At 44.7% G+C, this 26062-nt stretch overlaps 1 long non-coding RNA gene across 3 annotated transcripts in view, besides 1 other annotated feature; it reads right to left on the reverse strand.

Moving 5' to 3' along the window:
• Positions 1–24290, reverse strand: part of LOC105369496 (uncharacterized) — a 38770-nt gene extending 14480 nt beyond the window's left edge. The window contains exons 1-2 of one of the 3 annotated variants that reach the window (XR_948016.1): positions 7781–7911; positions 5854–5946 (exon numbers count right to left, since the gene is read on the reverse strand). This is a non-coding gene — a long non-coding RNA (uncharacterized LOC105369496). Of the gene's footprint in view, positions 1–5853; positions 5947–7780; positions 7912–24190 lie in introns of those variants that run through there. The other 2 variants (XR_948018.3, XR_948017.1) reach the window with 2 other exon arrangements.
• Positions 21062–21262: a silencer, noted in NCBI's record as "peak1472 fragment used in MPRA reporter construct". NCBI's record gives its function as "represses an SCP1 promoter by STARR-seq MPRAs in K562 erythroleukemia cells {active_cell/tissue: K562}" and the evidence as "EXISTENCE:reporter gene assay evidence [ECO:0000049][PMID:32103011]".
• Positions 24291–26062: the final 1772 nt, after the last annotated feature.

Below are 26062 nucleotides of genomic sequence, written 5' to 3' on the forward strand. Positions count from 1 at the left end.
GTGACCTTAAACCCAGGGGTCCATGGCAACTTAAAAACAACTCACAATTTTGCTACAGAAAAGTTGAACCAGATTGATCTGGCACAGTTACAGTCTCAGACCTCAGGAAGCTTCTATGTTAATTTGAAAAACTGATTCTGAAATTTTTATGGAAAAGTAGAGCTCCAAGAATAGAACAAAAAGATATAAAACTGTGTGGCATTGGTACAAAAGAAGGCAAATAAATAAATGGAATTCAACAGAAAACCAAAAACAAACTCATGCATATATGGTAACAATGTGTGATAGATATGTAATAGATTTGTCAGTAAGAAATAAATGAACTATTTAATAAATGGGGTTGAGAAAATTTATTATACCTGATAAAAGATATACACATAGCTTAAAGTGTGCAATTTAAATCCATTGATTCAAGAAAATATCATAAATTATTTTTAGGACATTTGCATGAAGAGGGATTTTCTTAACACACACACATCCAATGTTTTTTAAAAGAACAGAAAAATATGACTATAAAATGGAAAGTTTATGCCAAAAGACATTACAAAGTTAAAAGATATAAGCAGACTAGAAGAAAATATTTATAATACATATAATAGAGGAATGGCATCCAACATACATAAATAAATTTTTATTAATCAATAAAACAATAACCCAACTTAAAGAATAATTGAATGGCTGGAATATACAATTTACAGAAGATAAAATATAAAAATCGAGGTTTAACTCAATAGTGATCAAGGAAATTCGAATTAAAGAAGAAACCATTTCACCTATCAGATTAGGAAAATGTTAGAGTATGATGATATTAAATGCTGGGGTAGGAATTGTGTATTAGTTTTCTATTATTGCCACAAATTTCGTGGCCTAAATTGTTTATCTTATGGTTCTCTGAGGCAGAAGTCCAGTAAGGGTCTCACTGGACTAAAATCCAGGTGCTGCAGGCAGGGCTGCATTCCTTCCTGTAGTCTCTAAGGGAGATATTTTCCTCGTTTTTTCTAGCTTTTGAGGACTCTCCCTGCTCCTTGCATATAGCATCTCCATTTCAGAACTAGCAACAGAGCATCAAATTCTTCTCATGCTGCCATCTCTTTCTGACCACAGCTAGGAAAGGTTTTCTGCTTTTAAGAACTTAAGTGATTTGGCTCACTTGGAAAATCCATGATAGTCTTCTATCTCAATGTTAGCTGATTAGCAACCTTAGTTGCATCTGCAAACATCTTATTTTGGTTACTGCAATATGTATGTGTGTGTGAAAGTGTGCATAGGCACAATGAAACCAAAAGCAAAATATGGGCTGGGTGCAGTGGCTCACAGCTGTAATCCCAGCACTTTGGGAGTCCGAGGTGGGCAGATCACTTGAGGCCAGGAGTTCAAGATCAGCCTGGCCAACATGGAGAAACCCCGTCTCTCCTAAAAATATAAAAATTAGCCGGGCATGGTGGTGCGCACCTGTAATCCTGGGTGACAGAACAAGACTCCATCTCCAAAAAAAAAAAAAAAAAAAAAAAAAAAAAGCAAAATATGAACATATCCATCAACCCCAGAAGCCCAGAGTCTTCCTTGTGTGCTTTTGTAGTGCCTTTCTCCCACCTTCTTACTCCCGCCTTCCTCCTCTCTAGATAACCACTGATTTGCTTGCAGTCACTGTAGACTTATTTGCATTTTCTAGACTTTTATATAAATGGAATCATACAGTATGTGCTCCTTTTTGTCTGGCGTCTTTCAAACAGCATAATGATTTTGTGACTCATGTTGTGTGAATTGATTGTTCATTCCTTTTTATTGCTGAGTATTTTTTCATGGACTACAACAACTTGCGTTCGTACATTAATAGACATTTGGGTTGGTTATTTTGCCATTGGAAATAAAGCTTCTATGATTATTCATATACAAATCTTTGTATGGACAAATGCTTTCATTTTTCTTGGATAAACATCTAGCAGAAAAATGACTGGATCATATGGTAGACACATGGTTAACATTTTAAGGAATTTCCAGTTTTCCAAAGTGGTTGTATAATTGTACATTCCTAGCAGTGATGTAGGAGAATTCCAGTTCCTCCACATCCTCCCAAATACTTGGTATATGTGGCATGACTAGGCTTTTTAATTTCAGTCACTTAAATAGATTTATAATTCATTATAGTTTTAATCTGCATTTCTCCAATGACTAATGATGTTGACTTGAATCTTTGTAAATTTATTGAAACTTGTCTTATGATCCAGAATATAATTTGTCTTTGTATATGTTCCATGTCCACTTAAAAATAATGTGTATTCTACTGTTTTTGGCTGGGTGTTCTATAAATGTCAGTTAGGTGAAGATGCATGCTAGTATTATTTTTCATCCAGTTTGACTATCTCTGCCTTTTTTTGGAGTAAATAGACCTTGTTTAATGTGCTTATTGATGTGGTGAGGTTTAAATTACCATCTTGTTCCTACTTTCTATGTGTCTATGTGTCTCATTTATTTTTTCCATTTTTCTTCTTTCAAAGGCTTCTTTTGATTTAATTATTTTTATTATTCCATCTTATCTCTTTTATTGATGTTTTAGCTATAACTATTTGTTTTGCTTAGTGGTTGATTTAGGTTTTATAGCACACATCTTTAATTTTTCTCAATCTACCTTCGCTTATAGGATACCATTTTACATATAGTATAATAACCTTCCAATAGCATCCTTCCATTACTTTCCTTCTGAATTTTGTCATATATTTTACCTCTGTATATGTTATAATCTCTGCATTATATTATTATTGTTGTTTAACAGTCAGTTACATTTAAAGAGATTTAAATAATAGCAAAAATCTTATATGTTTATCCATGAAATTACTATTTCTGTTGTTCTTTATTTTTCTATGTAGGTACAGATTTTCATCTGGTATCATATTCCTTCTTTCTGAAAGATGGTCTTTAATATTTCTTATAGTGCATATCTGCTGCTGAACTCTTTCAGCTTTTGAATGTCTGAAAATATTTTCGCTTTGCCTCTATGTTGGAAAGATATATTTCCCCTCATTGCCTTAAATGTCTTTTCATTTGCATTTTTCAACAAGAAATCTGATGTCATGCTTATTTTTGTTCCTCTGTACATAGGTGTCTTTTTTCTCTGGCTGCTTTTAAGATTTTTTAAATCAGTAGTTTTGAACAATTTGATTATGGTATTCCTTGGTGTAGTTGCCTGCATATTTTCTGTGCTTGGAGCTCATTGAGCTTCTTGAATCTGTGGTTTCAAATTTTCACCAAGTTTGGAAAAATTTTGGCCATTATTTTTTCAAATACATTTTCTGCTTACACCTCTCTTTTGGTGACTCCAATTGTATGTGCATTAGGCTGCTTAGAGTTGTCCCACAGTTCCCTGATGTCCTTTTCATCTTACTTGAGTCTTTTTTTTCTCTTTGTGTTCCATTTTGGATAGTTTTTATTGCTAGTCTTCAAGTACACTAAACTTCATTTTGCAATGTCTAATTTGTTGTTAGTCCTCCAAGTGTAATTTTTTAAATCCAATGGCTTGTAGTGTTCATCTATACAGGTTTTATTTTGGTCTTTAAAAAATTGGGGTCTTTCATGTTCCCGCTCGACATATTCAAGATTTTTATAGCTTTTTTTCTTATTCTATCATTTTGAACATGTGGAATACAGTTCAAAATACTGTTTTAACATCCTTGTCTCATAATTCTAACAACTATGTTAGTCTTGGCTCAGTTTCAATTGATTGATTTACCTCCTCATTATGGCCTAGACTTTCTGCTTCTTTGCATGCCTGATAATTTTTGATTGAAAGCCAGACATTATGAATTTTACCTTGTTGAGTGCTGGATATTTTTGTATCTCTATAAATATTCTTGATGTTTCTTTCTGGGATTCAGTTAAGCTATTTGAGCATAGATTAATGCTTTCTGGTCTTTTAAGATTCATTAGATGGGACCAAAGCAGCATTTAATTTAAAGACAGTTATTCCCCACTAATGAAGCAAGACTCTTCTGAATATTTAAACCAATGCCCCATGAATTATGAGATATTTAGTCTGGCTGGTGGGAATGGGGTTCTATGCAAATGCTCCTTCAAAACAAGACCCTCGATCCATTTCTAACCAGATTTCCAGCTCCTAGGCAAATTCCTATCCTACCTAACAACTATACTTCTCTGGCATAACACCTTACTCATTTGTATGATTGGACTCTTGGGTCCTCATAGTAAACTTCCCAAGGGAGATAGAAATACTATGTCATGAAACCCTGTTTTGCTTTGTTTTACAGGGTGCGTAGCAGATTAATAAAGAGCCAGCATTTATTAAATATGCTATTTATAGCTCTATGATAAAATATCAATTGTCTTTGTCCAACAGTAGTTTATTTTTAAAATTTGAGGTGGGTCTGGGGAGGCTGATGGAGATGGGGCTGAAGACCCCCAAGCCATCCAGTAGCATTGCCACTGACTACAGGGAAATCAAGTGTTCTGGAGCCACAGAAGACAGGAGAGACAGCCACCAGAGACATATATGAAGATGAGGTTTCAATAGGAAATAGGCAGGAGGGTTAAGAGATACTTGAGGACTAGCAGCTGTCAACATCAGAACAGTTAACTCTTTCATGCTTGGCTCACAAGGAGACAAACTTGAGGTAACACATTCGAGTCAGAGTGGGCAAGAAATGCCCCCCCCCAAGGGAAGAGGAACCACCCAGAGAAAGCAAGGCTATGTTAACACCATCACAGATAATTTGAGCTGTGAGAATCTCAAAGGGCAGGCAGAGAGAGAGATCTCTCTTTCTCTCTAAAGCTAAATATTCTTTTTGTTTTCTAGTCACAGTGCAAAGTTTCATGTTGAAGTTGATGGTGTTTAATTAGACAATTGAGCCTGAGGCTAAAGTTACAACTGAGCACTAACAATGAGCATCTTCTTTATGATATGTAGAAACCGCTAGCTATAATTTTAGGAATGGAGATCATTGAAACTACAATGAATTAATTAATTTCATTTATATTGATTGAGTGACTACAACATGGCCACTCTCCTTTCTGTCTGGCCTTTGCCTAGAACTTCACAATGGCTTTCTTGGAAAAATCACCTTTGTATTAAGACAGAGTTATGGTAGAAATGACAAGATTTCACAGGGCCCACTCTCCCTTCTAAAGTCAGACACCCAACTTGACAAGCCACACTAAGTTGGGGTAAAATAGGGTTACCAGGATTTTTCTGCCTCTTCACCCTCTAATTCTTTGGGAATTAGTGGAATTCCCCTTTAGTACCTCCTAAATACTTCTAGGATTCCACAGGGGACATCTCACATGTCTCACAGGGGTTCCACAAGCAGGGCCTCCAGATCTCAATCTTTCTGTGGAGTCAGCTGCTTCCCTCATAGCTTCATCCAGAGCTGCTGCTGGAAGCCATCCATGTCTGTTCAGGCTGGAAGCCACCACCACAGCTGCTACTGGTCCTGGGTTGCAGCAGCCCCCTTTCCCATACCACAGAAACTTGCTACCAGTACTGGCAACCTGCCTTAAATACCAGGGCAGATATTAGTGAGGCTGTGTCACATGCGTCATCATCATCATCATTTTGACTTTCTCTTTTATAATAGGCTTCATGCCCCAGAGCTCAGGCATGGAATCCTGAGGGCAGATACAGATCTACTTCCAGAATCACTCCACCCTTCTGATTTCAGAAATGTCATCTCCTCTTGACTCTCCTTTCTTTAGGGTGAAATTTTTCCCAAGGGGCTCTTGGTTCCATATAAACTGACCCCTGGTAGTCCTGAGGGTCTTTCAAGATGCCCAAACATGCCCACATCCAAGGCATTATGTTCAATCGTTAAATAATTAAAATCCTTAAACAAGAAGGATACTCACTGGGGAGGTGGGCAGGAGGTTTTTTGAGACTGGGGAAAAGAATGATGGGTCAGAGTTGGCAGGAAATCACTGATGCTGAAGGAAAGGACAGAGCTAGGATGGAAAAAAAGACAACCACTGGGTGAGTAGGGCTGGTTCTAGAGGGCTGGTTCAAATTGTAAAGTACAGAAAATAAGATTTAAGTAGCCTTGTTCCTCAAACTCCTCCCCTTCCTTTTCCTCATTGTGCCCATCCAACTGGGCTTTCTTCGTCACTCTGCTACTTCCTCCTCCAGACCTTCCCCGAATCCAAGCTCCTCTTGCTCCAGGCCTTCTAAGAGCTTGCTACCATGAGAGAAAAGTAGTTGATTAATTCTCTCTATAGTGTTAATGACTAAGGAAGCCCTAAAATATTCCCTTTGGAAGGTGAGGGGGGCAACTTTCAGTCCAGCAGCAGGCCTGAAGGGAACCCATTTTGGCCAGTGGTGCTTCTGGAAATGTTTCTGAGCAGATGCTTGGAAACTCAGCTCTGTCTGCCACTGGCCCTTTTCTCCAGCAGAACCTTTCCTCAGGCTCTCCCAGTGGTCCGCTCCCCAGGAACGCAGTTTCAGGGGATTATGCAAAGCTAATTGCACTCTCCAGGAAAAGTTCATAAATGTTGTTATTTACTCCCTTAAATAACACCCCTTATATGTCCTAAGTGCTTTGGAGATATGCAGAAAAAGCACAGCAGGTTCTAGAAACCCAAGAGATTCTTTGCCACTTAAAAAAAAATATTTTTGTCCTAACAGCTGTTTATTATAATCTCTTGAAAAGCCAAAAATGCAATCAGCTTCCCTGCTGGACTAGCTGCATTACTTGCCACATTGTGTGGAATGCTTTATTCAGTGCCGGGCCTGTTTGGTTTTGTAGGCCTGAGCAAAGAGTTGGGCAGGACTTACGGGGTTGGAGAAAACTGAATGTTACAATCCACCTCTTAATGGCCATGATGCCTTTACCCAAATAGAAGAAGTAGCCTCTCTTTTCCTCCAGGGATCCTCCGTCAGGGTCTGCCTTGGGTGACTGGCTCATAATGGATGCCGTTCGCCATTCTTTTGGAACTATCTAGTGGTGATTTTTTTTTTTAACTTGTTTAGAAGTGTGAGAAGCCAAGAAGGAAATGACTACCTCTAGAAAGCCTTTCCTGAACGCTTCGACGGAGCTACAATGGAGATGATGTGGTCCACCTTTGGGGTAGGCTCGTAAGAACTGCAGTGGATGTAAGTTTTCAAGCACAGAGTAGGTGCTCAAAAATGGTCATGTGCCTTTCCTCTTGCTTCCCCTGGGAAAATCCCCATTCCACTGAATGAAAGTGTGACATCACCAGGACTCTACTGAGCTTGGTAAACAAGCCTCAATTTAATGATTGCCGGGCCAGGTTTCATATTTGCATGGGGCCGGTGGCTCCTTTTGTTTTGGCCAATTTCTCCCATTTGTAACCAGAACATTAACCCAATGCCTGTACCCCCATTGTATTTTGGAAGTAACTGACTTGTATTTTGATTTTACAGGCTCATAGCGGAAGGGACTTGCATTGTCTCAGATGAGACTTTGAACTTGGACTTTTGAGTTAATACTGGAATTAGTTAAGACGTTGGGGGACTGTTAAGAAGGAATGATTGGTTCTGAAATGTGAAAAGGACATGAGATTTGGGAAGGGCCAGGGGCGGAATGATATGGTTTGGCTCTGTGTCCCCACCCAAATCTCATCTTGAATTGTAATCCCTACGTATTGGATTACACGAAATGGTCCAGTGAAGTCAACTTGTCACCAAGTTGGTTGAAGGTGATTGAATCATGGGGGCCTTTATGCTCAGCTTTCACTGGATATTCCCCTACCAGGGAGGCTGGGATCTCAGGATCTGGGTCCCTGAGGACCTTTTGTAAAGTTCTCATGCAAAATAACTCACAGAGTTGAGGTGCAGAGATGATTGAAAAATGATGTCTCCTCTGGGCTGTCATGGGGCAAACATCCAGGAGAACATGTGTAGATGGTCCACGTGGAATTTTCTACCTACTGACTCCTCACTGGCAGATGTTGTTGCCAATAGAATTCATTTGAAATGATTGCCGACATGATGTCATAGAGAAAATATTGTGAGTTCCAGGATGGTGTGGGCAGGGTTGGTAGGTAAGAATGGGATAATGGAAAATGAATAAGTAACAGGGCAGATTTGAAGGGGAAGAAAGAGGAGAGGGCAAGAAGGAGGAGAAAGAAAAGGAAGAGAAGGAGGAGAGCTAATATTGCTTTAGCTCCTCCATACACAAGGCTCTGTGCTAAGCGCTCCAAATACCTATCTCATTTAAACCTCATGGGGCCAGTACTTATAATCAGTATATTACAGATAAGGAAACTGAGCATCAGTAACTTACTCCAAGTCACATAGTCACATAGCTTGGAAGTGGGTTTCATATCTTAGAATTCAAATCCGAGTCTGTCTATTCCCAGAGCCCTTGAACTTATCCATTATAGGTATTTAAGACCAAATAAGAAGGTGGCAGGAACCTTTTTTAAGGTTGGACTCTGAAAGTTAGCTAGGACTTCAGCAGATGAAGGCAGAAGGGACATTTTAGCTGGCAGCAACGTCCGCGTGAAGTCAGAGAGTTGGGGCGCATGGGTGGAAAGAGCTGCTTAGCCAGGAGGCAGAGTGGCTCCTTGTTTATAACACAACCTTTGACGTTTTAAGTTTCTATGGAGTGGAAACAGCACTGAAAAAGATACTCTGAGAATTAAATGAGATGAGGTGCCAGGCAGAGAATCTGGCATTCAATAAATGGTAGTTCATTCACCTGTCCAACAAATATTTTCTAAATGTCTACTGTACATTAGGCAAGGGGAGGGGTCTGTCCAAGCAGAACTGACCTAGTCCTTGCCCTTTTGAAGGCTATATTCTAGAAGGGAAGAGTGACATTTAATCATTTATGACATGGTTTAGCAACAATAGTGGTAAGGCTTCCTCATAAGAGAAGTAGGAAGCACTATAAACCTTTACGACAAGGAAGTTGAGCTAAGAAGGATGAGTAGGAATTACCTAGACAAAGTAAGTGTGTGTGCATTTGTGTGTGTGTGGGCCACATTAGGGGTCATTTTGAGCAATAAAAAGCCCTGAATGTCTTAGCAGGGGAGGGATGTGGTCATTAACTGACATGATCAGATATTGGAGAGAGGATAACTAGGCTCTCAGGGAGCTACTGAAAATGCTTGAGTGACAGAATGATACCGTCAGCACAGCACAGCCATCTTAATAAACTTATTCTTAGAGCCATGTACATGCATAATGGGCAGAGAGACTTAAGGCTGAGGGGTCAGCTGGAAGCTCTTGTCAAGGCATGAGCTGATAAATGTCTGAACTAGACTGCAGGCAGTAGGAACCTACAGGATAAACAAACGCAAGACACATTTTTCAAGGAAGGAATGACAAGGTTTTGAGCTTTCTTGGAAGTGGGAGGTGAAGGAAAGGGAAGAGTAAAAGATGGCTAGGAAGTTTCAGATCTGGATGATAGTAAGAATGAGGATGTCACAGCCAGAAATAGAAAAGTCAGAAGGAAGAGCTGCCGTAAGGAGAAAGATGGGCAACTTCCATTTTCAGCACACTGAGTCAGAGAGGACAGCATTCCCTGGGAAGAGCGGAGGGTCTTGAATACACATCTGAGAAATACACATTCTGCTGATTAAGATTGTAAACAGGAGCTGCTGAGTGAAGGTGGCTAGGGGGTGGCCTTTGGTCAACTTCTGACAATGGTGTGGGTGAGAACAGAGGAGTAGACACTGTCAGGGGAAGAGAGAGAAGAGTGGCTAAGGCACAGGGCATTGAAGGCCACCCCCACTTAGGAGGTCGATGCAGAAAGTCAGCCAGGGAGCATGCAGAGAACAGAGACGGGAGCAGGGGCTGGAAGTCAGGAGAGGCTGGTGGAAGATGGAAGGTGGCCAGGTGCCCTCAGAGCCCAGGCAGGCAAGGCAGAGAGAGGCAGGGGACTGAAGCTGTGTTGGAACCCTGAGCCCCCACATTTCACTGCAGCACTGGAGGTTCCTGTGGAACCTGGCCCTTCTCAGCCACAAGACCCGGAGATGAGTACTGGTAAGAGGTGCCGTTCTGTCTGGCTACCATAATTTCTGAGGCCTGATGCCAGATAAAAATACAGGGCTTCTTATTCAAAAGCAGGTAAAAAGTACTGTTATAAATTCTAAAATATAAAATGTTTGCCTTGCTTTTGTGGTCTCTCAACCTGTCATGGTGTTTTCTCATCTGCTATTTAATGTTGCTTTTTCTGAGGCATGGGGACAGTCCTGACAAGCACAGACCCTCACAGGTGCCCAGACCCCGCCTGGCTGTGACTTGGTGTGTGGGCAAATGATCTGCCCCAGAGCCAGGGGCAGGGAAATTGAGGCAGGCATCTCCCCTACCCAACTCATGGTGGATAGGTGACCCCAAAGGGGCTGCAACCTCTGTGCCAGGACTCACTGAGTGCATGTATTGGAGGTGCCAGCCTGGGGCCGGAATAGTTACCTTCATGCATGACCCCAAGATGCTGCAGAGCCAAATTGCCAAGTGCAACCCTCCCTGAGCCTGCATCTGAAGCCCTGCTCCCAGTGGCAGGGGCTGGTGAATACCAGGAAGGGTAAGGGGAGGGAGGATGGGCAGGGGTTGGAGGGTGGATGGTGAAAAAAACTTCCACCCCCAGGGGAGAAAGGCAGGTGGCAAAGGGTGAGATTTCCTAGGAACTGAAATTCCAAGCCCCAGTGCTCGCTTGGACAAACAGCCCATCAGACTTCACATACAAAACAGACATTCAAGGATAAAATTGTCAAGAATTTCATTTTAAGACAGTGATAGCAGAGCATGAAGCTGCAGGCATGGGATCTGTGTGACTGCACTGGACATCCGCCTTTGAGGCTGGTCTCGAGTGAAAGGCGACCTCAGAGCCCACTGCCTGTACGCACAGTTGCTGAGGATGTGCTAGGGAAGCTTTCTCTTTCTCTCCACCGCATTCTTATCTCTGTCTCTTAGTTATCTCTATGAGCACCCCAGCCCCCAGCACAAAGCAAACACCAAATGAACAGTGCCCCCTGGAGTTGTTCAGGAAGTGCACTTGTTTCTCACCCCCCACCCCTTTCTTTCTCCTTCTAACACTGGGGCTCGAGCAGGCTCAGGGCGCTGAGAGTCTGCAGCACAGTCTTTATTAGGTTTCCTATTTTCTGTCACAACAGACAAGCCTCACAAGACAAAAGAAAATCGATTCTTTATCGACCACAGTCCAGCTGTTGGCTCCAGAGCCAAGGGAGGCAGCCAGGCACGCAGGTCTGACCTGTGTCCTCAGAGCCCACCGGTCCCTATGGGGCAGAGCTCAGCCTGCCTGCAGCCCGGGGTAGCTGCCCAGGGAATGGCAGCTTTCCTCGAGTTAGCACAAGGCCTTCTGTGGGGTAGGCCTGGCATAGTGGGCATACAGCCAGGAAAGGCGTGAAGTGCCTGGTGTTGGTGCTTCTGCCTCCCTGCTCCGCCCCCACCTCCTCTTTCTCATGACTCCCCCTCCCTGGGATTGCCCAGCTGTGGGGTTAGCCAGGCTTGTGGGGCAAGGGTGGGGTTCGTGCCATGGTGCACTCTCTGCCTGGGGCTCTCCTTCCCTGCACATCCATTGGCTCCTAGAAGAAGCCCCAGTCAGGGTCCTCCAGAGTCAGGAAAGTGTTGAGGACCCACATTTCCATAAAGACCAATAATGAAGTGATCTGATTGGCTTCGGTTCTTAAAGTGGTGAATTTACATGCACTGGCAGAAAAGGAACACAAATAGGCCCTGCTTTTCTCTAATCCTGTAGACTATTCCACGTCTCTGTCCCAATGAACATTTCCATTTCCCTTCTTCCCTCCCTCCCTCCCTTCCTTCCTTCTTTCCTTTCTGTCTTCTCTCTCTGTCTTTTTTTTTTTTTTTGAGACAGAGTCTCATTCTGTCACCCAGGCTGGGGCGCAGTGGCACAATTATAGCTCACTGCAGCCTCAAATTCCTGGGCTTAAGCCATCCTCTGGCCTCAGGCTCCCAAGTAGCTGAGACTGCAGGTGTGAACCACTATGCCCGGCTAATTTTTAAAAATTTTTTGTAGAGATGGGGGTCTTGCTTTGTCACCCAGGCTAGTCTTGAACTCTAGGGCTCAAGTGATCCTCTGGCCTCGGCCTCCCAAAGTGCTGGTATTATGGTCATGAACCATCCCCCCAACGAACCAGCGAACATCTCCCTTTCTAAGTACCTATAAAATAAGCATTATATCTCAAGCCAGTCAAAGCTGTAGGGCTGAATTAAGCCTCCAGTTCTACATTTAAGCAGATGGCTGTGGACTTTACCAAGAGGCTAAAGAAACGAATGAACAGGGAGCAACATGGGGGGAGGGATTAGACCTTCAGAAGCTTGTGGGGTACTGGTGTAGGTGGCTACTGAGGGTTGTGACGTTACCTCCAAAAGAGTTGTCCTTACTCCACACCCAGAATGGAGGTCAGCCCTACTTGAGAGTCAGCTTTGAGAGAGACAGTCCTTAAACAACAGAGCAGAATTTGGGGGTGATGAAGTGCAAAGGCTTTAGAAGATGATCCAAACCCAGATGAGCAGATATGTGGTAACTGTACTGGGCTGGCCAGCGCCAAGTGCTTCAGGGAGCTCAGGAGGGCAGGGTCCTCCCTGTCCTCAGGGAGCTTGCAGGGGAGCTGGCAATCAGAAGTGGGAGTGGCTGCACACCTCGGGACTGGTGTGCTGAGGCAAGGCTGTAATGCAGAGGGGAGATGTGGGAAGAAGGGAATGGGGACACAGAGACAGAGTGGTGGCCAAGGGTGGGCGGTAGCATGGACTCTGGGGTTCCAATCCCAGCTCTACTACTTTCTGGCTCTGGCTTCAGGCAGGTCACTTAACCTCTCTGTGCCTCCATTTCCTCATCTGTAAAATCAGCATGACAAAGATCATACCCACATCATAGGTTTGTTGTGAGAATAAAGCCTTTAGAACTATGTTTGCTGCATCATAGGGACCATATTTTTTTTTTTTTTTTTTTTTTTTTTTTGAGACGGAGTCTCGCTCTGTCGCCCAGGCTGGAGTGCAGTGGTGGGATCTCGGCTCACTGCAAGCTCCGCCTCATAGGGACCATATTTTATAAAATGATTTGTTGAATACTGGAACTAGTCTCAGATGCAATCATATTGGAAGGGGCACAGTCTAGGTAGCCAAAAATCATAAAAAGGGAATTCCCAATCTATAACTTCTATCTCCCAAGAAACACTAAAGAAATGATAATTTGTAATTTCCAACAATTTTTATATTCCCAACCATCCTGCTCTGCACTCTCTCCTTCTGCAGCTCCTTCTACTAATGCATGCCCAGCCTCTGCCCACAGCTCAGTCTGTCTCCTTCCTTCGGTGCCTCAGAGACCTCCTTTTTCTGATTATACCTCAGTGATTGATTGGGGCTCTAGCTGCTGAGCTTTGGAATCCATGGCTGCCTTTGCCTGGAACCCATGCTTCCCAGGAGTTCTTCCCACCAATGACTGAGTGCAGCTGGAGGCTGAAGTCGAAAGATAGGGTACCCCTCTGTCCACTGGCTTTGGCTCAGTGACTCTCAATGTCTTTGCCAAACCTTCCTTAGACTTCTGTATCCCCACCTGCCCAGCCTTGTGGTCTGACAGCTCTCCTAGCTTTCCCAGCTCACTTCTTATTTCCTTTCTCACAGGCATTTTCTTAAAATCCATGCACATTTGATTTCTCCTTGGTGTCTGCTCCTCAGAAGACCTGGACTGATCTCCTCTCCCCTTCTTCATTCATTATATAGATCAACTCACCCTCTCTGGATAAGTCCTTCCTCAGCCTCCCTCGCATCAATTCAGCATCAGCAAGGTGCAGAACTAGTCTGGTGCATAGAGATTGGTTCAGAGGTCTTGAATGGGGTGAGCATGTGGGCAGAGAGGGCCCCTCTTACTCAGTTAATGGAGGAAGGGTTTACTCAGAATATCTGCTCATTGATATATTTTATCCCAGAACTAATAACATCCAAAAGCATTTTTAGTTCTTCCTGTGTGCCAGGCATTAGGATCAGAACTTTAGCTGAATTATTTCACTTAATCCTCACCACAGCACTGGGAGGCAGATATTACCATTTGCATTTTACAGATGAAAGTGAGGGAGGCTAATTATTGATCAAGGTCCTATAACTAACATGTAAGTGGTGGAGCCAGCCTTGAACCCTGCCTGTCTGACCCCAGTGCCCACGATCTCTGTGAGCACAATATTGCCCACAGCATAGGCAGTGGTAGGCTCTGGGGCTCTGGGACTAAGAGGAACACAGAGTGGGAGGCAGTCTGGGGACAACCCATCCCACCGTGTGGAATCAACTTCCTCCCCAAAATGGGGAAGAAGTTGCACTCAGGGCATGAGTTTTGCTGCTCACAGGGGCAGCCACAGCTTTGAGGGAAAGGGGTAGAAAGAAGTGGGGAGCTGGTGGGAACGGGGCAGAGGCATCTGCTGGAGAACACTCAATGTCATCCTAAATTAGATCATAAAAAGTAAGTGCTTTTTAAAAGCAATTTTACTGAGCAGGGGATGTGCTGTCAAGTTGCCTGGTGATTCAGAGGCTCTCTGCCTCCCAACCCCTTCTTTGGAGGTGGGGGTAAGGATATGGCTGTGGGGAAGAGTGGCTCAGCTTCTCTGTTGTCTGCTAGAGGTTGAAGTGACCCAGCTATGGCTGAATCCCAACCTGGCTGTCCTTAGCTCTTCCTGTACCCCCTTAGAGTCAGACAGAGCTGGGCTCCAATCCCAGCAGGACTACCCACCCAGAAGAGCTGTGTGACCTGAGAGGAGTTGCTAAACCTCTTTTAGCCTTAGTTCTACCCTCTCTGAACACAGAAATAATGCCAGAACCTTGGCTTTGGCTTCTTGTGAGCATTAAACGAAATAAAATCTGCACAGTCTGGCAAATAATAAGCCCTCAAAATTGGGACCTCTTTTTATTATTTATTTTTGTTTTTATCATTAACACCTGCCTGAGAGATTAAGAGTGGAGGGTTCAAAGTAAAAGGAAAGAAAGTCATGCCTGCTTCCAGAAAGTAACAGAGATTGCTACTGCTCACTAATGTTGAGTTCCTCCTCTTCTTCTTGGACCTCCCTTGCTCTATGATGAATCCTGACCAATGGGATGTATGCAGGAGTAATGTCCACCCGTGAAAACCTCCACCTTGTCTTTATGTCTTGTGATGACCTTATTGGAGATGGCAGCACCAAAGATGGTTAGAGCCTGGGTGCCTGCATGACTGCATGGAGGAGAGCCCTCTCACTCCACCACTGGTACCCCCTAATGGACTGCTAGGTGAGTGCAAGACAGCTTTGTGTCAAGTCACTTAGAATTTGAGGGTGTTTGTCTTAACATTTAGCCCATCTTGACTTTAGCAGTCAGCCAAACCACCACAGGGATTTTGTAACTTTCTGTGGCTTTAGATTGTTTGAAAGTTTCATGAAATGAGAGATGACCGGAGACAGTCTCTAAAGCCCTTCTCAGCTCAGACATTCAAGGTGGCTCACTGCTCACTAATATGTAGTTAAGAAATGCCCTGTACCCTACTGGGAACCTATGAGCCAGCAGTCCTAGAGAAGCCTTCATAGGGTCCTAGGAACACCACCTATAGGGTCTCTCTCATCCTCTGGGTTTCCTACCCTGGGCCAGCCCTGCAGCAACTCTCCAGTTTCCCACCAGGTCAACATTTAGGGGACAGAGTGTGAGAGAGTCACTAAAGCCCAGATCATGTGAGTGAGCCGGAGTGACTGAGTATGTGTGCGCCAGTGTGTAGGGGCTGCACCTAAGTTGCTTTGCAAATATTTATTTGTAGATTTTTTTTCTTAAACAGGTGTTGGATGGTTATAGCTATGGAGAGCCGAAGCTAATCTCCATATTTCTGGGTGTTGGCAGGCACTATGTCAGTCAGAAACCCCTGCAGTGATGGCTGGATTCTCTGTCTCCTGCGCTCTCTCTCCCTGTAGGCCTCTTTCCTTTTACCCTGAGGCATCTTCCCAAGTGCTGACCCAGGGAATGTGCTTGCTATGAGCCATTGGATGCTGTCAGAGATGGAAGGGACCTACTCAGGGGATCATCTTTCTGGAGATGCAGAAAAGGAGAAAGGGAGAAGGGAGAAAGTGAAGTTGGGGAGAGGAGAAGAAAGGAGGGGAAAGGGAGGCAGGGAGGAGAGGAGGGACATTCATGTGGACTGGGTCCCTGCAGGGTGCCTTAGCAGATCCCATTCACTACAGCCAAACAGAAACGGGTTCAACTCCTACTTAAGCCAACTACTGAGTAATGTCAGAAAAATTTCAAAGCTTTAGTTACACATCTTAAAATGGAGATTGCCCAGGAATGGTGGCTCCCACCTGGCTCACTCCTGTAATCCCAGGAGGCTAAGGTGAAAGAATCACTTGACAGAAGTTCAAGACCAGCTTGGGCAACAAAGTGAGACCTCCCCTCTGCCAAAAAATAATAATAATAAATGGGATTATACTAGCTACCTCTTAGTGATGTGAGGATTAAATGAGATAATGTACGTAAAGCCCACGTTGGCCGATAGAGATGCTTAACGAAGGGCAGATACAGTTGTCCCTTGGTATCCATGGGGGATTGGTTCTAGGACCCTTCATGGACACCAAAATCTGCAGGTGATCAAGGCCCTTATATAAAATGGCATAGTACTTGCATATAACCTATGCATATCCTCCTGTATCTCTTAACAATGGGGATATATTTTGAGAACTATGTTGTTAGGTGATTTTGTCATTGTGCAAACATTATAGAGCAAGGATCCCCCACCCCCTGGGCCACAGACCAGTACCAGTGTGTGGCACGTTAGGAACCAGGCCTCACAGCAGGAAGTGAGCAGCAGATGAGCTAGGGAAGCTTCATCTGTATTTACAGCCACTCTTCATCATTTGTATTACTGCCTGAGCTCTGCCTCCTGTCAGATCAACAGTGACGTCAAATTCTCATAGGAGCACGAACCCTATTGTGAACTACACATGCCAGGGATCTAGGTTGCACCCTCCTTATGAGAATCTAATGCCTGATGATCTATCACTGTCTCCCATTACCCCTAGATGGGACTGTTTAGTTGCAGGAAAACAAGCTCAGGGCTCCCACAGATTCTACTTTATGGTGAGTTGTATAATTATTTCATTATATATTAATATTATAATAATAATAGAAATAAAGTGCACAATAAATGTAATGCACTTGAATCATCCTGAAGCCACCCCCCCCACCCCATTAGTGGAAAAATTATTTTCCACAAAACTGGTCCCTGGTGCCAGAAAGGTTGGGGACCACTGTTCTAGAGTGTACTTACACAAACCTAGATGACACATAGCCTACTACACACCTAGGCTGTATGGTATAGCCTATTGCTCCTAGGCTACAAACCTGTACAGCATGTTACTGTACTGAATACTGTAAGCAACTGTAATACAATGGTAAATATTTCTGCATCTAAACATAGAAAATGTACATAAAAATATGGTAATATAATTTTGGCCAGGCACGGTGGCTCATACCCATAATCCCAGCACGTTGGGAGGCCAAGGTGGGCAGAACCCTTGTGCCTAGGAGTTCAAGACCAGCCTGGTCAGCATGGCAAAATGCCGTCTCTGCAAAAAACACAAAAATTAGCCGGGCATGGTGACACACACCTGTAGTCCCAGCTGAGGCGGGAGGATCACCACCTGAACCTTGGAGGTTGAGACTCCAGTGAGCTGTAGTTGCACCACTGCACCCCAGCCTGGGTGACAAAGTGAAACCTTGTCTCAAATCATCATCATCATCATCATCATCATCATCATCCTCTTATGGAACCACTGTTAAGGATGAGGTTCATAATTGACTGAAACATCACTGTACAGCACATGACTGTACTTTAAATCATCTCTGGATTACTTATGATAGCTAATACAATTTAAATAGTATGTAAATAATTGTAATACTCTGTTTTTAAATTTTCCTATTATTCGTTATTTTGGTATTGTTATTTTTTATTAGTTTAAAAATATTTTTGATCTGTGATCGGCTGAATCTGCAGATGTGGAACCTGCAGATACGGAGAGTGACTGTATTAGCATTGACCTGTTTTCCACTCTATCTGAGTTGAAAATGTCTTCCAGACACCGCTCCCAGGCTGCCTTTCACATGCCCCTGGGAAGCCTGGAGAGGCTCTTCGGTGGACAAGGTTGAGATGGAGATGCTGTGTTCACAGCTATCGACAGAAAGGGAAATGAGAGGAGAGTGGTTTCTGTGCCTCCACTGGGCCCAGACTGGAGTCTGAAGTGAGCAGAAAGCCCTGATTCCACTTCAGCTGTCGAGGCAGTGTTGCAAAATGGTTAGAGCCCAGACCCTGGGGCCAGATTGCCTGGGTTGGAATCCTGTGGCTACCACTGACTTTATATGTACTCCTGGGCAAGTTGCTTAATCTCTCTGTGCCTGAATTTCCTCATCGTAAATTAAGAATAATGATAAGTCAGTGTCATTTAACAATCTAATAAGTTAATATACAAAGCATACTTAGTAGCAGGTACATAGTAAGCCCTTTGTGAATGACAGGCATTCTTATCTACAGCCCGGAACAAAGCCAGAGGCAAAGCTGCTGCTCTTGTTGGTGCTGTGTATAGAGAATAAAGGCAGTATTTATACTATACCCATGTCCCCTTCTGTCCCACATTCAATGTACTTGGGACACAGACTAAACAGACTTGAACTACCCTTTCCAGAATCACAGGGGCCTCTTCCCAGGTGCACTTCCAGGTTCATCACTGGTCTGCATGCCCCAAGGCCTGAAGGCTGGCCAAAGAGTGGCTATTGAGGGGATGGGACAAGTGTAGATGAAGCTTGAACTTATGGCCAGAGAATCTGCCCCTCTGTGCATGTGGCCATCAGTGGTATAGGATGGCGCCCAGGTGTAAAGAGAAGGAAGCTGGGCAGGAAGCCTCTGTACCTTTGCATCAGGCTTTGTGAATTTTAGGCAAGAGATTGCATAAAGATATAGGGTCTGGCATCCATCTCTAGTTACCCATCCTCTCTCAGCATGTTTAGCAGATCATAGTCTTGATGCCAAGGCAGGACAATGGCACATGCATGGGCCTCCCTAGTTAACTAGAACGGATGGGCAAGGGCTGGGCTTGCACACCTGCTGGCTTGTGTGAACTCATTGTTATTCTGATGGCGAGGACCCTGAACTGGGCTCAGGAACAGGAGCTTCAGCCATTCAAGGCCAGCCCTTCCAGACTGTAGGGCCGAGCTCAGCTGCCCCAGCTTTGCTAGACAGACAACCTAGGGATGTGCCAACGACCCTAGGCTCTGAGATTCAAGCTGCCAAATCCCCAGCGGCAGCCTATTTGCTTAGATTTTTGGATTGCAAGAAGCAGAAACCCAAACAGCGTTCCTCAAGTAATGCAGGATTTTTGGTAAGGATGCACATAGGAATAAGAAAATGAGAAGGCCAGCCACAAAGCCCAGCTTCCAGGGCACTCTGGAGAAGCTGAACAAACAAGCTCTGGGAGGAATTGGCTCTAGGGTGAACCAGGATTGGGGAGGCTGAGAGCAGAACACATGGCAGTGGCATTAGGGCATTAGTGGCATTAGGGGCACAGTCCTGATGGGTCTGGGCTCCTCTCCTTGTGTTTTCCTCTCTCCATGTCTGCCCACTTCTCTTCTTTGCTCTCTGCTCTGACTTCTCTCTATCTCATGGTTTCTTCTTGCTCAGAACTTTGGCCCACCCATGGCCCCTCATGCTCCCCTCCCCAGCCTCTCTTTACTTCATGACTTTTAGTTCCTCTGTTCACTGCTGATATGCTTTGGCTGTGTCCCAAATCTCATCTTGAATTGTGGCTCTCACCACTCCGATGCATCATGAGAGGGACCTCGTGGGAGATAATTGAAACATGGGGGTTGTTTCCCCATACTCTTCTTGTGGTAGTGAATAAGTCTCATGAGATCTGGTGATTTTATAAGGAAAAATCCTTTTTGCTTGGCTTTCATTCTCTCTTGCCTGCCACCATGTAAGACATGCCTTTTGCCTTCTGCTATGATTGTGAGCCCTCCCCAGCCATGTGGAACTGTGAGTCAATTAAACCTCTTTTTCTTTATAAATTACCCAGTCTCAGTTAAGTCTTTATCAGCAGTGTGAAAATGGACTAATATAACTGCTAACTGCCCTATTCTTCCCATATTCTTCTAAGTCATTAACCCTGGGGGAAAATTATCATGCCAGGCCAACTCCTTGCCCACTTGCCAGACTATAGATTAGATTCTTGGGTCAGATGCCTATCACTCAGCTGTAGTCAGTTGAGGGGAACTTACATGATCTAGAGCATGGCTGCTGTGGGCTGTGGGGAGGACAGGTTTTCTGTGACATGGACAACCACTGTTATAAACAATCTGTCTGGAACAGTGAGGACGGGAGCCTGGGTAAGAGCCCTTCCCAGGGTTCACTCACTTGCTTCCCTGTTCTGCTCTTTCTCCTGCAGACCCTCTCTAGACTCACTGCAAGGGAAAGGAAGCAGGAGGATCAATGTGGAGGCAGCCGAACAGAACTGCAGATCTACACAAGGTCTGAATCTCTAAACCTGCCTCCTTTCTCCTCTTTTTCTTTCCACTTGCCTCTGACTAGAAGGGACTGCGTTTACTTAACTGCTTTTTTTAAACAACAAAATCAACAGTGCTCCAGCAAATATTTGATGAGTAGCTTCTATACTGAAGTCTCACTACTCAGCAACGAAATTTCATCTGAAGCCAGTAGAAAACCAGAGATGTGAAATATTTATCACAAATTATGTTTTACTATTTACCCTCATATACATCATCTTGATTTTATTAACACCATAGTAAAGTCACTAGGAAAGCTATTACCATCATACTAATTTTGTGGATAAAGAAACTGAAGTTCAGAGAAGCCCAGTTGACTGGTTAGGGTCACATAGAGAGCAGGAAGGAGCTCAGTACTACAGCTTGGGTGGCAGCACCTCCCTCATGGAACTGTAGCATGCTTTGTCCTATGGGATAAAAGTCACATTATGGCTAGGACATTTCCCTGTGTTGCTTGTATTGTCCCACATGTTGTTTTTGTTGACATTCTTTTTTTTGATCCCAGATCCCTAAGAGGTATCATCTCTTCTTTGATAGGTACCATGCCTGAGGTGCTTTCACTCAGTGCTAACCACCCAGTCTGGGCCATCTACTCAGGGAGTTATCTTCCTTCTCGTCCACATGCTTCTCGGGCCTGCTCTTCCCTGTCCATGGTCCTGGACTCAGGGTCTGCCACTTTGCCTCTCTGGGGAATGGCCACGGTTTCCTCTCCTTAGAAGGCACTCCTCATCCTGAGGTCTCTGCTTGCAAGGAGCCCCATTTCTAAACTCCAAGGCTACTAAGCTTGCTTGGCCTCCAACTTCCAAGCAGCAGTGGTGCAGGATTCTACTTGAATTTTACACCAGGGACTTAGGTAGGAGCCCCCTCCCTACAGGTGGTCAGCTGAATCATGGGATTTTTTTCATCTTCTGAACTAGAAGGAGAAACTTGTGGGTTCAGAACAAGACAAAAATATGAGCCAAGTTCTACGAGAGAAGATAGGAAAGGTGAAGTCTACAGGAAACTTTAATTGCTTTATAGGAACAGGAAGAGAATGTAAAGGAGGAAGCTGGCGCTCAGCCTTCCTTGGAGTGAGGAAGGTGGGTGGAGAAGTTCTCTCTTAATCAGAGCCTGGTGGGAAGCCAGGAAAACTGTGGCTTTAGCTGATTGCTGCTTTAATGGTGACTGGGACAGGGAGAACTGTGCAGCAAAAGTGTGTGAGCTGTGCATGTGTGTGCATGTGTGTTTACAAGCAAGCAATTGCTGGTGCCTTTGCCTTTCCTGACCAACGGTTGACAGTCCAGGCCTCCAGGTGATAATCAGATTTTCCTTCTACTCCTCAGGCATCTCCATGGCATTTGTGAGGGTAGGTAAGATAGAGGTGATGTCTCTCTTACGTAACTGTTCAAGGTGGATGTTCCCAGTTGGCAGGATGATCTGCTTCATACAGTCATCCAGGGTCACAGGTTCCTTCCATCGTGTTTCTGTGGCATCTTCTAAAGCAGCAGTTCCCAAACTTGGCTACACATTGACTCCAATAGCAGCCAAGTTTAAGAACCACTGTCATGGGGCTTTGCCCTCATCTACATGGTGGAAGTGGAATCACAGGTGCACAGGCCTGGAAATTGCACAAATGGCTTTCATTGACATTCCACTAGTGAAAAATTTGGTCATGGTGTATAAGCCCTTAATTATAATGCTATGTGGTAAGTGCTAAGATCCTTACTTGAGCCCAAAGGAGAGGCATCTAAGTCAGCTCTGGGAAGTCAGAGAAGCCTTCTTTGAGGCCATGGTCCTTGGTAGCTCTGGATGACTCTGGGTTGCTTGGTTTGTTTACCTGTTTAATTTCTAGGCTTGGTTTCTTCATTGACAAAACGGAACTAATAACTGAAACTGCCTCAGAGAGTTGTGAGGGGTATGCAAGGTAAGTCTCACAAAGCACTTAGCACAATGCCTATCTGTGGTTAGCACTGAATACATGTAAGCTGTTCATTACTCTTATTTTCTGGGCTACGTGAGAACTCTGGATGTTGCAAGGCTTTATGGGGCTGAGGCACAGCCAAGTCTAGGACTGGATTTTAGTTTCTTCCTTTTGGTTAGTAAATAGGATGAGGCAGCCTGGTATAGCTGCCTGGCAAAAGCTGCCGCTGCTGCTGGTCATTGTGGTGGTAGTGTTGGTGCTGTGTGTGTGTGCATGTGTGTTTGTGTGTGTGTGTGTGTTGGGCTGCAGGCAGGAATATGGATAGCAGAACTCTGCCTTTTAGGAAGGAAGGGAACACAGTGATGCCTCCTTTGCCCAGAATCTGACAGTACAGATTGTCTGGTTGAGCTTGCCTGAGGCCTCCTTGCCTGCTTGGCTCTGAGGGTAGCATGAACCCTCAAGGCAGGCAGGAGCAGGAGGGCATCTTGAGCTTGGGCTGCCCTGATGTCTGCAGTAGGCGTAGCTGGAGTCGGCTGACATCTGTCAGCTCTGGCTTCATTTTCAATAGGACTCAGTGCTGAACTTCCACTAAATCCTTGTTCTCTCTCTCTCTCTCTCTCTCTCTCTCACACACACACACACACACACACACACACACACACACACACACACTTGATGTCCCAGACAAATGTGCTTCTGTGTTTTCTGTACTATGACTGTGCTGTTCTCTGGAACGTGTCTCTCTCCCTGCAGAGCAGCTGGGTCCAGCAGTTCCCTTCCATTCCCAGCACTTTCTCAGTTTTAGGATTTCTCTCCCTTTCTCTACTCTCTTCATCTATCAAGATCACACATGAAGAGGAAGGCTTGGGTAAATCGGGGCAGAGTCCAGGGATCCATATGCATTCACTGTGCTTTAAGGGTCGAAATAGTAACTTCTAGGACCCTCTAGCACCTGAGACATGGGCACATAGGAGACCCATCCTGCTGAGTAGCTAAAAATGTCTATTGGAGGCTCTACAGGTATCAATTCCAGGAGAAGCAAATAAAGAATGGGGTGTGCCTCAGGTCATATCTAAGCCACTTTACTGTTCCCCAGGTCCAGACAGACCTGGCTTAGTTTTTACTTTATTTTATTTTATTTTATTTTTGTCCAGAAAGATTTTTAGAGGCAGTGAGAGGGTCTAGCTTTCCCAGACTCTGCTATTGCCTCTGACAGATAAGAAGATGGCTTCTCTCCTCTCTCTCCTCTTCCTCCTCCCCAATCAAAGTGCCTCCATAACTGCAATTGTCATCACACTGGTAACAGCTATGGATGCATTAGTGGCTCTTCTCTCAGTCAAAACACCTTATTCCCAGCTCTCTCCCTCTCCCAAACACCTGCCTGTCAACCCATTTCAGATGGTTGTCTTCAAAGACTCACAAACCCAAAGAAAAAATTGGGGGGGGGGTGGGGTGAGGAGAGAGATACTTTATCTATGTCTGTCACAGCACTCTCCAAACTAAAGAAAGAAATATAAATCATGTTTCCTCTCCATTTGTGGTCACAGCAGCCAGCTCTGCAAGGAGGGAAAGCAAAGGAGAGGGGAAGAAAGTGCCAGGCTAGATCAGGCCAGGGGCCACCTGTGCACCAGCTGTGGGCTCCTCATTTATTTATTTATCATCAGAAATCCTGCCCAGATTTCCCTGCCAAGGGATCACATCTCCCTTGCAAAATGACCCTTGTTAGGCATTTTTGTTCTGTGGGGAAGGAGATGTGTATAAAGGGGTAAGCAAGAAAGACACAGTACCTGCCCTTGTAGAGCTCAGAGTCTGATGTGGGAGGCCAGGACCTAACAGTGAAATGTGGCTGTTCCACGGTGTGATGGCATCAGGCGGGGGAGCTACCTACACCAGGGAAAGCATCAGAGGAGTTTCCCCAAAGGAAGTGGCAATCAAGGTGAGGTTCAAGGCTGAAGCCAGGAGGAGGCCGCCAGGCAGAAGTGCACATTTGAAAGACTACAAATGCATCAGAGCATGGTTGGTGGGCAGCTTGGAGGTGGTAGAACAATGCGGGATTGTTGGAGCAACCTAGGCAACAGACAATGGACAAGGGGAATACCAATGGAACTTAAGAGACTGCGGGGAGGGAGCCAGCCCTTGGGCAGCGGAATTAGTAGGACTTGGTGGGTGATTGGATGCAAGGGGCAAGAGAGGGATGCCCAGATTAATGGCTCAGACAACTTTGTAGATGAAAGTGTCATTTTTGAGTCACAGGATACAGTGTAGGGGCAGAATTGCACATGGGGATAGTTGGAGGTCACAGGTGATGCCTTCAGCTTGGGCCACTGAGTTGCCTGTGCCAACCTAGTGCAGTTGGTCAGTGGACGATTAGATGAATGAAACCCAAGACCACCTGGTTGTTTCAGGAGGCAAACCTGGAGTCAGTTCATGTGTATCAGGGAGTTGGTAATGCTTACCTAGATCTCTCCTTGACCCTGCTGTCCCTCACCTCCCATGTCAGGGCCAGGTATCTCTCCTAGTGTCCTACAGATTCTTCCTCCCTTTCTACAGAACCACATCTCAGGTGGCTGGAAGGCTGGAAGTTTGGGTTTAGTGGTCTGTTTCCTTACTAGATTGTAAACTCCATAAAGGTAAAGACTATGTCTGTCTTGTTCGCTGTTGTATCCTCAGCACCTGTTACACGATAAAGTTTTTACTAATGATTTCTTAGTGAACAAATGTGTGAATGAATGAATGAATGATACCTTGTCAATGGGGTGTGCCTCTCAGAGGGTCAGAAATTATGCCAAAGCTACCATGACTCCGGCTCTCACCTGCACTACACCAAGAGTGTCCTGATCAGTGCCTGCGCCTCCACTCTTGCTCATAGTCAACCTGTTTTCCTTACAGGCATCAGAGATCTTGTAAAATATGAATGGGATCATGTGACTCCCCTACTCAAAACCCTCCAAGGCTTTTCACAAGCCTAAGGAAAAAGGCAGAAGGACTTAACAAAGCCTATCAAGATCTGCAGGCCTCAGCCCCTCACCCCTCCATCCTCTGGAAATGTCACTCCTCCTGCTCTCAGGTTGCTCCCACGACACTGATGTCTTTCCCATCTCTGAGCACTTGTGTGCAAATGTGTGCAATTATGTGTGAATTTACATACGAGTGTGTGTGTGTGTGTGTGTGTGTGTGTGTGTGTGTGTGTGGGTGCGCACATGTGCCTGGAAATCATCTTCCATCTTTTTGCCAGGTTCAGCTTTCAGTCTTGGCTGGCCCCCCATTCTAAAGTAAACACCAGCACCCGCTCTCTTTCCTCTCTCCTAGTGCTCTTCACTTTTCCTGCACAAGCCATCAGACAGATGAACATAGCATGTGTCTGCTTATTTGTTTAAAGCCTGTCCTCTCCTGAATTGTGAGCTCCACGTCTACCTGATGTCTATTACAGTATCCAGCACACACTCAGTGTTCACAAAGTATTTGAAGAATGAATGAATGAACATGTCAGTTCAGGTGTAGGGAGGGAAAAAGGCCATGTCAGTCCAGTTGTGTTAGGAGACAGAGGCCCTACCAGTTCGGGTATATTAAGGAGACAAAGACTTTTCAGTCATGCAGTCATCCCTTAATGCACTTAAACATTTATCAAGCGGCTACTATGTGCTAGGGGCTGTGCTAGA

This window comes from Homo sapiens, chromosome 11, assembly GCF_000001405.40.
Source record: "Homo sapiens chromosome 11, GRCh38.p14 Primary Assembly".
Lineage (NCBI taxonomy): Eukaryota > Metazoa > Chordata > Mammalia > Primates > Hominidae > Homo > Homo sapiens.